This window comes from Homo sapiens, chromosome X (assembly GCF_000001405.40).
Source record: "Homo sapiens chromosome X, GRCh38.p14 Primary Assembly".
NCBI lineage: Eukaryota > Metazoa > Chordata > Mammalia > Primates > Hominidae > Homo > Homo sapiens.
In genome coordinates, this window is record NC_000023.11 from 70,925,232 (window position 1) to 70,937,447 (window position 12,216).

Below are 12,216 nucleotides of genomic sequence, written 5' to 3' on the forward strand. Positions count from 1 at the left end.
GGTGGAACAGAAGCCAATAGTTTCAGTGTAGGCCCTAACCAATGTCAGTGTTGCTATCAGAGTCCACCCCAAATCCCAGAGACAAGTGTTGCTGTCTACTTATCCAGAACCTAACCTTAAGTGTAATGAGGGGAAAACATATCTCAAGACCATTCCTTTAAGTGTGACTGGACTGGATGGCTACCTACTTACACCACCCTCCTCAAACCCTGATTCAACAAGAAGCACCCACAGGCACAGCAGATGCTTTTGTGGTAACTGAAGAAAACACAAAGGACACTTCTCTGAGGCTCTTCACTCTTAAAAGTCAGGCTCTACATCTTTAGCAAGCAAAAAACAGGACACAGTTTATTTTTCTACTTTCTTTTAATATCATTTTTTAAAGTTGGTAAGCAGCTAGACATCATTTAGAAGCAGACGGGTTAAAATAGACAAGAAATAGCAAAGACACATCCTTCACATCGTACAGAACTGTATTAGTATCCACCACCACCATCACAGGGGAGGGCTAGCTGTCACTGGGGTCAGGAGTACTCTCCATTATTGTGCAGGGGACCAGACAGCATTTAGGTGTGACGATGTCAAACTGAGTGGACATAGAGAGTGCCGGGATCAAGGTCTACAGTTTTGGCTCTAGACTTGCGTGAGGGTTGGTTACTCTTAATCTCTTCCAGGCTGTGCTGGATCCCATAGCCGAAGTAGATAGCAAAGCCTAGTGGGGAAAGGTAGCTGTGAGGTGGGGGTGTAAAGGCTTCATAGGTTTCCTACTTGAGACCAAGAGGGAAAGGAGCTGGGCTAGGACACCAAAGAAGCCTACTCTTCCCAAGTGGATACCTACCAATCAGCATCCAGACCCCAAATCGGGCCCAGGTACCAGCTGTCATCTGCATCATAAGGTAAATATTCACAAAGATGCTCATTAGTGGGAGGAGAGGCAAAGCAGGCACCTGAAAACAAAGTAAAATCTTCTTTGTACATACCACAGGTTGACCTAGAAAGAGATCCCTATCCTATGCAGGCCAGAAAAGGGTGAGTCCAACTCTTACTTGTCCTCTGCATTTCAGTAGCTGCTCATTTAGCATACCTCATGAGACTCCAAGAATATGCAGTTTGGGTAAATGGAACTGGAAAGGAACTAAAGAGGGTCAGAGAAGAAGTCTTTGGCCTAGGTACCTCCTATATCTTCCCTTTCATGTTCAATTAAAGAATATCTATGAACTTTATTAGACCTCAAGATATCTGGAGCCTATTCTCCCAAGATGGGCTGGCAAGGAAAAAAGACAGAGTTCATTTACCTTAAAGTGAAGGGGAGTGGAACTCTGTGGCTGTCTCCAGATGACCACAATGATCCCAATAATGAGCAGCAGGAGCAGCACAACCACTGCAGTCCACAGCAGGTCTCCAGAAAGCAATGGAACTGACCACTGGGCCAGCACCAGGCAAAGAGCAGTCAGCAGGACAGCTTCAAAGGTCAAGTTGAGAGACATCAAAACCAACTCTTAAGACCAACATGCTAAGACATTAGAAACCCTGTTCCAAGGAGAGTCGCTCTCTCTCTAGTTCTTCCTCAGCCACCAAATGCCACACACTTCGACCCAATCACGCTGATCTCAGAGCCACCCCAGAAAAATTCCACTGCTCACCAAGCAATGAGGAACAAACATAGACAATTTGGCCAGAGAGTGGAGTGGGGATGGAGTTGAGTGGGAAAAATAGTCCCCATAGGGTCAACTTCTCTGATTCAGTAGTTATTGCCTCCTCCTGCAACTCCACTTCTTCCCCAGTCTTTGTCTCCTGATCAGGTTGATACCTGAGGCAAAAGTAAGATGGCAGTATTAAGAACAACCTTTACTCACTTTATCATCTTCTCCCAGGCAGCTTAACCTTCCTCATCACCATTAAGGGAAGTTCTTTTTGGCAGGGTGAGATACCCAGATTCCTCAAAGAAAGTTGGAATAATGAAGGCGAAGGAGGAAAGAGGAGCAGATCTCCATCATTCCTCATCCAAGAATAAAAATCCAAATCACAGTATGCAGAGGAAGAGTCTCACCTGAGGATGAGAACACAAATCGACACCAGGGAGTAAGCAAGCAGGGTCCCAATTGACATGAGGTCCACAAGATCAGTGAGTTTGAAGAGGAATGCCATGAATGCTAAAATTAATAGGCAGGAAACAAGAAATGAGAGAAGGGAGTGGCAAAGTTAAAGAAGTTGGCGAAACAACTAAGGGAAGGGGAAAGAGGGTCTGTTACCTGCAATAATGCCAGAGACCACGGTGGCTATGATTGGGGTGCGTGTGCCGGTGTGGATCCGAGCAAGTACACGGAACAGGAGGCCATCCTCTGCCATCGCGTAGATCACCCGAGGCATGGGGAACATGGAGCCCAGGAGGCTGGAGAGGAGAATGCCCAGGGTGGCATGAGTTGACTGGGATCTCTCTTCCCAAGACTGTATGTTTAAAGAGTCTCCACTTTCCCCTCACAGCCCTTTTAAGGGGTATTCTCTGGTACTGAATGCTATAACCTGAGACTCTGACAGCAGAAGAAAACAAACATTTGATACTGACCTGGTAGAAAGAGCACAGAGGGAGCCAACAGCCACAACATAGCGGGCAGGAGCCCATCCAATGTAGAGAAATGCCTCAGGCAAAGGGCTCTCAGGCTGAAGCTGGTAGTAAGGCATCATCAGGGTGAGTGCAGAAGAGACAGCAAAATACGCCAAAAAGCAGACAGACAGTGAGATCACAATGCCCATCGGGATGGAACGCTGGGGATTCTGGGCTTCTTCTCCTGAAGGAAGGGCGTAAGGTTCTAAATTAGGGAAGCAGGCCCACTCCTCTACCACCCCCAGTCTGCATACAGCCTGGGCACACACTGTGCCCAAGCCCCAAACAGAATGGAATGACTGTGTTACCAGTGGTAGCAATACAGTCGAAACCAACAAATGCATAGAAACAGGTCGCTGCTCCACGGAGAATTCCCTCGAAGCCGAAAGGCACAAATCCTCCAGAGCCCAGAGGACCCAAGCTAGAGTGGAAGAAGGGTTGGAGAAGGTAAGGGTGTGTTCAGCCAACTCTGTATCTTTTCTCTAATGCCAAACCAGTTAGCTAGGTCTTCAAAGCCCAGCCTCCCATTTTTTCCCATCCCCATCCAGAATCCTTCAGCAGATCCCCTTCTTCCCCTTCATTTTCCCAGCTCTGCAGCTCCTAAGAGTGACCATCTAACCTATAGGTGTCATTGAGTTCAGCCATGGCCAATTCGTAGTCCTCTTCTGTGAGCTTCCAGTTGTGCACGTCCCCCTTAACGAAGCCAGAGATCATGACGAACCCAAGAACCAAAAGGTTCACGCCTGTGAACACTTTGGTAACCAGGGCCGACTCACTAGCCCCGAGAGCCAACAATCCTGTGGGAGAAATGCATTCAGGACTCCCAGAAAGTCTTCAGTCCAAGCTTTGTTTCCCTGCCTCTAGGTTCCTTCCCAGCTTTTCTTCTTCCCCACCATTATCACCTCCCTTAAGCCTTTCTCAGGCCCATCCCCCATCCTTATCCCTGGCCCCAAGGACTAGCCCCTCCTGGCCCAACCCCCACCATTATACCCTGCTCTTTGCCTCACCAGTGAGCAGCAACACGAGGCCCAAAGCAAAGAAATCTGGATATTCTGCAAGGACATGGGGCACGTGCAGTGCAATGGACCCCTGCAGAGTCTTAGAGATGTGGTTCCCAATCAGGTTGTCAAAAGCAGAGCTCCAGGCCCGGGCCACACTGGCTGTACCTGGTGTAGCAGAGAGAGAAACATGTGGCCAAGTTCCCTTCTTCCCAGACCCCAGGCTCACACAAGTCCCTGCCTTTTTCACCTATTCTTACTTTTGTTTTGTTTTGAGACCAAGTCTCACTCTGTCACCCAGGATGGAGTGCAGTGGCACAATCTCCTCTCCCTGCAACCTCTGCCTCCTAGGTTCAAGAGATTCTCCTGCCTCAACCTCCTGAGTAGTTGGGACTACAGGTGTAAGCCACCCTGCGCGGCTAACTTTTGTATTTTTAGTAGAGACAGGGTTTCACCAGGTTGGCCAGGCTGGTCTTGAACTCCTGACCTCAGGTGATCTGTCTGCCTCGGCTTCCCAAAGTGTTGGGATTATAGGCGTGAGCCACTGCACCTGGCCTATTATTACTTTTTAAGAACCAAAACCATTCACTTAATTAAGGAAACCAGGACGGAGATGGATAGAATGAGCAATTTCTCCACACCTTCAACACCCCCCCCCAGACCCCCAGCAAACCCGCACATTTAGGGAGATTGAGGTCCTGTGAATAATATAAAGAATACTTCCACCCAGATTTCCTGACCAAAAACCCCTTTGCTGGCTGTGCAGTTCCCTCCCTCCCCCACCATATCTCACCAATGACATAGGAGAGGATGAGGTTCCAGCCAGTGGTGAAGGCCCAGAGTTCACCCACAGTGACATAGCTGTAGAGATATGCCGAACCAGAACGGGGAACCCGGGCACCAAACTCCGCATAGCACAGCCCAGCCAACACAGAAGACAGGGCAGCCACCAAAAAGCAGATCACAATGGATGGCCCTGCTTTATCTTTGGCCACCTCGCCAGCTAGGACATACACGCCTGCACCCAATGTGCTGCCCACACCCAGGGCCACTAAATCCAGGGTGCTTAGGCATCTGGCAAGGCGAGTCTCAGCCATGCCTGACTCCAGTGTACGTCTGCGTACCAGCTTTTGACCAAATCTGCGAAATGCTTGCCACGGCATCCTAGCAGGAATTGAAGAAGATGATCTGGTGAAAAACAAGACAAAAACCCCTCGACAGGGCTCATTATCCCTAAACTCTGAAAGCGAATTACAAGACCCCCTCCACCAAGCAAAGGAGCTATTGGGAAATGAGGACGGGGATATGGAAGGGACAAAGGCAAGTCACTTTACCTCTAACCTCAGTTTCTTCATAAACAAGTAGGAATTACAATACCTTACAAGGTTTTTGGAAGGGCTAATTTCAGAAATGGCACGTGAAAGCCCCCTGAAGTAGAGTGGCTGGCGCCTAGTAAGTGCTCAATCAATATTAGGTCTCTTTCTCTTGCCAGAAACTGATAGGGTTTATCCTAATCTCAACCCAGGAATCTTGAAACCTAATGTGTCAGTTCCTTGGCCTGTGGCTATTTGGGAATTAAACAGAGCTCCACCCAGGGGCTTCCCCCGGGGCTTCAAACAGACACAGCCCCCAGACCCCCCAGAGGGAGAGGGGACCAACCTCGCTGCAGATTAAAAGTGAGCACCGACTCAATTCCATCCCTCCTCACCAAGCCCACACTGCTCAACTAGCGCAGCTGTCGCCCAGGGGAGTAAGCAAATGTTCCCCTACTTCCTCCCAAGCCCTGCTAGGCTGACCTGCAAGCATCAACAGCGAGGCGGGGCTTCGACATCTAAAGATTTGGAGATGCGCCCCCAGAGGGGCCCCAGGGCAGCCCGAGATTGCTCGCACTCTCCTCTCAGCAGAGAGGAAGGGTTCCACCCGATGCCCCCCGACTCAGGTCCCAGATTTTCCTGCCCCCATCTAGAAATGGTTTGGAGCTGGGGTGGAGACGGGAGCCCTAACTCCCGGGGCGGGGGTCTCGCCAGCAACAGGTCACGGCCCCGTTGATGCAACTGCATGCCATGGTTGCCAGAGAATCCTAGGTACGCCCGGACCCTCGCCGTCCCCCCTCCGACACACGTGTGGGTCCCCAACGCTTACCAGAGAGCTGTTGCAAACCTAGGGAGCACAGAGTCTTGGACTGGGCTCGGTGAGGCGGAGTTAAGCCGAGTTGGGTTGGAGCTGCCGAGTTCGGCCGCTCAGGCTTCAAAGCTGCGGCTTGGGGTCGTTGCGCGCCAAGCGCCCCTTATATACACCAGGAGGCGGAGCCGGTAACGTCATGGGATCCCACCCCCAATCCTCCTCGCTACACACAATACACACACACACACACACACACACACACACACACACACACAACACACACACTTCTTGGCTTTGCAAAAGGATTGCGTGGGGCCTGAGACTGCGTCCCATCCTCACTAGCAAGCCTGGCGTGCCGGGGAGCGAGAAAAGGGGGAGGGCAGTCTTTTCCCATTTGTCTCGCTGGTCGTCAGAACAGGACAATAAGAGGCTTCCTGGCCAAAGAACCCATGAGATTTTCCACCTCTGTGCCCTGTTAGGACCAGTGATTCTGGGCAGGAATGGGGAAGGTAGGTGGGGTGTGATGGGGGGGAGTTGGGTGCGTGTGTGTGTGTGTGTGTGTGTGTGTGTGTGTGTGTGTGTCAGGAGTGAAGCGGAACACAGCAGGGGAGTCTCCACCTCACTCTCAGTCTTTCTTCCTTAGCTTTCTTGTCTACACATCTGACCCTGACCCTTCAGCTCTCACGCTCAGCTGTGGGTGTTTCTAATGCAGGCAGCAGGAGAATGGAAGATGATTTCAAGCCACCTGTATACAGATAATTAATCCAGTCTAAATTGATTTATAGGCCCCAATCTCTCTATAATGTGTCTCCAGCTGCCTATAAATATTAAACTATTAAATGTGAAATTCTGACAATACCAACATCTTGGAGGAGGAAGCTTGTTTAGTTCCATTTTATTGATGTGTAAGCTGAGGCTCAGAGGCATGACTTGTTTGACACCACACCATAATTATTGTTGACCACCTTTGATAAAACCTGGCCTGTTGGACTTCAATGCCTGCCTCCCGTAGGCACCATATCTTATTCAAATGAACAAGAAGAGGGATGTGGCCACAAGGAAAGACAAACAGGGAGAGGCATCAGCAGCAGGGTAGGTCCGTTTAGGCTAGGAGATACTAGGAAACAGAAAAGGACCCGAAGAATCTACGAATGATCACATTGGGTCAGATCCATAATCCATCTGACCCAATCAATTCTTACTCATAAGAAAGCACCAAAGGTTGTGAAAGTGTGGTCCCTGCTCCACCAAGACATCTTGGGGACTAAGGATGGACTCAAATATCCTTGCTTCTTTTAATGATCCATGATGAATATATTACCCATGAATCTAAAATCTAAATCCGTTCTGAAAGAATTGGTATTTTCAACCAGCTGCAGCTCCATTTGGCATTCATTAAGTATTTATTGAGCATTTATTGAGCACTATGTGTAGTAGCTGGTACAGCAATGAAGAGACTATGAAGGAAACATAAAATAAAATCCTTGCCCTCCTAGTCCTAATCTAACTAGGGAAAGAAAACACACACTATACAACTGAAACCTTATTACATAGACGTTAGGAGTGCTGTGTTTGGAATTGCACCTAGGTTAAACTCACAGCTCAGCCACTGTGGATTACCTAACATCCCTGAGCCTCAGTTTCTGGACATAATATACATATTTCACAAGGTTGTTGTGATGCTTAGATGAGATTATGAAGTCAAGTCTTCCTGCCTGGCACATGGAAAGTACTCAAGAAAAACTTGATACATATTTGGAACGATATATTAGTGTATATGATCTGGTTGCTTAGATTAGGTGATTGATTGGATTATGAGATTGATTATTTATCACAGAGATAAAATCCAAATGCCATGAAATCCAGTCTTTTAAAGAGTACAATTCAATAGGATTTAGTATACAGTCACAGAGTTGTGTATCCATCACTACAATCAGTTTTAGAACATTTCATCATTCCAAAAAGAAACCCTGTACCCATTCCCAGACACTCCCCATTTTCTCCCAATCCCCTCACCGTATCCCTAGGCAACCACAAATCAATTTTTTTGCCTCTGTAAATTTGCCTAGATGTTGGTCAAAGGATGTAGAGTTTCAGTTATGCAAGATGACTAAGTTCTGGGGATCTAACGTGCAGCATGGTCATTATAGTTATAACACTGTATTATGCTTGATACAGTTAATAGTATTGTATATTCATGTATATACTTGAAATTTGCTGAGAATAGAGCATAAATGTTCTTATCACATCAAAAAATAGTAATTATGTGAGGTGAGGGATATGTTAATTAGCCTCATTATGATAATCATTTCACTATATTATACATATATAAAAACATCATGTTGTACACTTTTAAAAATATACAATTTTTATTTACAACTATACTTCAATAAAGCCAAAAATAAAATGAATAAATAAAATGTAATTCAGTTGAGGGAAAAAAAGAAAGAAAACCACCATTTTGCACTCACCAAAGTAATAACTGATTCAGGCAAGGATAATCAATAGATGATCCTGGGTGTTGGGAAGCAAAATATTCACATGACCTCAAAATACCACCCAACAGATTATAGTTTAATTATAAAGGGAAAGGTCCTGTATTAGGGTTTTTTGTTTTGTGTTTTTTGTTTGTTTTGTTTTGTTTTTGAGACAGAGTCTCACTCTATCGCCCAGGCTGGTGCAGTGGTGCGATCTTGGCTCACTGCAATCTCTGCCTCCCAGGTTCAAGCGATCCGCCTGCCTCAGCCTCCCGAGCAGCTGGGACTACAGGCATGCGCCACCATGCCCAGCTAATTTTTGTACTTTTAGTAGAGACAGAGTTTCACCATGTTGGCCAGGCTGGCTTCGAACTCCTGACCTTAAGTGATCTGCCCTCCTCAGCCTCCCAAAGTGCTGAGATTACAGGTGTGAGCCACTGCACTGGCCAGTTGGTAACTTTAATTACCTCTGCAAAAGCCCATTTTCCATACAGTGAAACATATTCACTGCTCTAACAAGCACCAAGGGAAAAAGTCACGGGGGCCAATATTCTTCCTACAACAGTAACTTTATAATGGAGAAATCTGGTGGAAAACACCTTAGCTAAGTGATCAAGTTTAGCACCACAAATAATGGGGCAAACTGACATTATATGCCAGCAGATGTGATGCAATGAGAAGTACATATCATCCATGACATATTTTTGCCAAAAACGTTTAACCCTGAAACTAGTTGTGAGGATGTAACCAGAAAAATCCAGATTGTAAGACATTCTATATGACAAAAGACAACTAGCTAGAGTTCTGCAAATGTCTTGAAAGATTTTTTGCCAGGCACGGTGGCTCACACTTGTAATCCCAGCACTTTGGGAGGCTAAGGCGTGTGGATCACCTGAGGTCAGGAGTTCGAGACCAGCCTGACCAACATGGAGAAACCCCATCTCTACTAAAAATACAAAAATTAGCCGGGTGTGATGACGCTTGCCTGTAATCCCAGCTACTCGGGAGGCTGAGGCAGGAGAATCGCTTGAACCTGGGAGGCGGAGGTTGCAGGTGAGCCGAGATCATGCCATTGCACTCCAGCCTGGGCAACAACAGCAAAACTCTGTCTCAAAAAAACCAGAAAAGAAAAAGAAAGATTTTTTTTTTTTAGGTAGGGGGACTGTTCTAAAGGAACTAAAGGAGACTGAGAGTCATGACACTATGAAGTGCATGGTCCCCAGCTGGAACTTGGATTGGAATTCTAAAAAAACATCTATAAAGGAGATGATTGGGACTATAGCAGAAATTTGAATGTGGCCTGTATATTAGCTAATGATACTGTATCAATATTAATTTCTTGTGCATGATAACAATATTGAGGTTATGTAGGAAAGAATGTCCTTGTTCTTAGGAGATATGTGCTAAATATTTAGGGATGAAGTGTAATAAACTTGAAAATGGCTCGGCAAAAATAATGTGTGTGTGCATGTGTGTGGAGAGAGACAGAGCAAATGTGACAAATGTTGAAAAGTGGTGAATCTAGGTGAACAATATGGGTATTGCTTATACTACTCAAATTATCCATATATTTGATTTTCTTTTAATTAAAAGTTGAGGCCAGGCACGGTGGCTTATGCCTGTAATTCCAGCACTTTGGAAGGCCAAGGTGGGTGGATCTCTTGAGCTCAGGAGTTTGAGACCAGCCTGGGCAACATGGCGAAACCCTGTCCCTACTAAAAATACAAAAATTAGCCAGGCATGGTGGTGCGTGCCTGCAGTCCCAGCTACTCGGTAGGCTGAAATGAGAGAATCACTTGAGCCTGGGAGGTCAAGGCTGCAGTAAACTGAGATCACTCCACTGCACTCCATCAACAAAGCAAGACCCTGTCTCAAAAAAGAAAAAGAAATTAAAAGTTTAGAAATGACCACACTTTCCTAGATGATATCCCATTTTTTCTACATAACTCTTAATATATTTTGAATTTCCTTTGATATACAAAATGTGAAATATATATACATATGTAACTTGAATTTTTGCCAAAATACAAATCAGTCAGTCTAACACAATTCATTACTCATTCTTCGACTTTGATGATATGTACTTTATCATGTATTAAATTCTTAAATATACTAGCATATATTTCTAGATTTTCTATTTTTCCATTTGTGACTGAATTTATGCTAGCATGTTAAATTTATTTATTTATTTATTTATTTTAGTCCCAGTTCCAGTTTTAGCACATTAAAATTAGCTTTTAATTTAAAAATTACAGAAGCAGGCCAGATGCTGCAGCTCACACCTCTAATCCCAGCAGTTTGGGAGGCTGAGGCAGGAGGATCACTTGAGGCCAGGAGCTCAAGACCAGCCTGAGCAACATAGCTAAATCCTACCTCTACAAAAAAATAGCTGGGAATGGTGGTTTGTGCCTGTAGCCGTAGCTACTGGGGAGGCTGAGGCAGGAGGATCTTTTGAGCCCAGGAGTATGAGGCTGCAGTAAGCTATGATTGCACCACTGTTCTCCAGCCTGGGCAACAGAGCAAGACACTGTCTCAAAAAAAAAAAATTACAAGAGCAAAACATGTTCATGTGACAGAGTGAGAGAATATAAAATAAAAAGTAAAAATCTCCTCCCACCCAATGTGATATCCCTACTGTTTTTTGTTTGTTTGTTTGTTTTGTTTTGTTTGTTTTTGAGACGGAGTCTCGCTCTGTCACCCAGGCTGGAGTGCAGTGGCGTCATCTCGGCTCACTGCAACCTCCGCCTCCCGGGTTCAAGCAATTCTCTGCCTCAGCCTCCCGAGTAGCTGGGGTTACAGGCGCCCACTACCATGCCCAGCTAATTTTTGTATTTTTAGTAGAGACGGGGTTTTGCCATCTTGGCCAGGCTGGTCTTGAACTCCCGACCTCGTGATCCACCTGCCTCAGCCTCCCAAAGTGCTGGGATTACAGGCATGAGCCACTGCATCCAGCTGATATCCCTACTGTTAACAGTTTATTTTTCTTTCTTCCAGATTCTGTACCTATACAAGAAAATACATGGAATACAAAGACATATATCCTTTTAAAAATACAAATATGACATTGCATACATATTCTTTTGCCCTTTATTCTTTTTTTTTCTTAAAAGTATATTTTGGACTGCTTACCAGATCAGCAGTCATGGATCCACCTCACTCTTTTGTTTGTTTGTTTTGAGACAGAATCTCGCTCTGTTGCCCAGGCTGGAGTGTAGTGGCGCAAGATCTTGGCTCACTGCAATCTCCACCTCCCGGGTTCAAGCGATTCTCCTGCCTCAGCCTCCTGAGTAGCTGAGATTACAGGTGTCTGCCACCACTCCCGGCTAATTTTTGTATTTTTAGTAGAGATGGGGTTTCACCACATTGGCCAGGCTGGTCTTGAATTCCTGATCTCAAGTGATCCACCTGCCTCAGCCTCCCAAAGTGTTAAGATTACAGGCGTGAGCCATCGCAACCGGCCCACTTCACTCTTAAATGGCTGTCTAAGTGTTCTGCAGTATGGTTGGTCCTTCATTTATTTAACCAGTCCCCTATTTATGCACGTTCATGTGGTTTCCAGTTTCTTCTCCCAACACAACATTGTAAATAATAGATGCTTTACTATGTTTTAATATTTGTTAAGCAAGACTTAACTTTTATAAAGTACTCCAAGCAGTTTATCTTTCAAAGTAAAACAGTTATTTTATAGTCAGTTCTGCTATAACGATTGTTTTTATTCCAAGGCAATTGATATATTAGGCAACAATTAGAGCAGAATGTGAATTTTGCCTTTGCTTATGTGCAATGTGCAATTTCATCATCAGGAAATAGGCAAATGCGGAAAACTGTGTCCAGTTAAACCAAGCCACGCAGTTATGCACATAGTGAGCACATGCATGCACTGCAAACATCTAACAGCTACATCAGTTCATCATGTGTTATGAGCCACATCCATCCATATCTGGGGCTATAACTTTTGGGCTTGGTGGTTTTTTTTTTTGTTGTTTTTTTTTTGTCTGAGACAAGGTCTCAC

The 12,216-nt window shown here is 45.5% G+C and overlaps 1 protein-coding gene across 3 annotated transcripts, besides 1 other annotated feature; it reads right to left on the minus strand.

The window, feature by feature from the left end:
- SLC7A3 (solute carrier family 7 member 3) lies at window positions 348-5,865 on the minus strand. Of its 3 annotated transcripts, none has more exons than NM_001048164.3 (12): window positions 5,746-5,865; window positions 4,397-4,767; window positions 3,613-3,771; window positions 3,225-3,402; window positions 2,914-3,026; window positions 2,567-2,789; window positions 2,253-2,392; window positions 2,051-2,153; window positions 1,644-1,810; window positions 1,296-1,462; window positions 839-947; window positions 348-712 (listed from the first exon to the last, which is right to left on the minus strand). In NM_001048164.3, the coding sequence occupies exons 2-12, from the start codon at window positions 4,764-4,766 to the stop codon at window positions 582-584; spliced, it is 1,860 nt and encodes a 619-aa protein (NP_001041629.1). In that variant the 5' UTR covers window position 4,767; window positions 5,746-5,865; the 3' UTR covers window positions 348-581. The 3 variants fall into 3 exon arrangements, with proteins under 3 accessions (NP_001041629.1, NP_116192.4, XP_047298554.1); NM_032803.6 differs by having other exon boundaries at window positions 4,397-4,791; XM_047442598.1 differs by having other exon boundaries at window positions 4,397-5,865.
- Window positions 5,108-5,609: an enhancer, noted in NCBI's record as "H3K27ac-H3K4me1 hESC enhancer chrX:70150189-70150690 (GRCh37/hg19 assembly coordinates)". NCBI's record gives its function as "activates a minimal SCP1, AML or CMV promoter by ChIP-STARR-seq in naive H9 embryonic stem cells {active_cell/tissue: H9 hESC(naive)}" and the evidence as "EXISTENCE:reporter gene assay evidence [ECO:0000049][PMID:30033119]".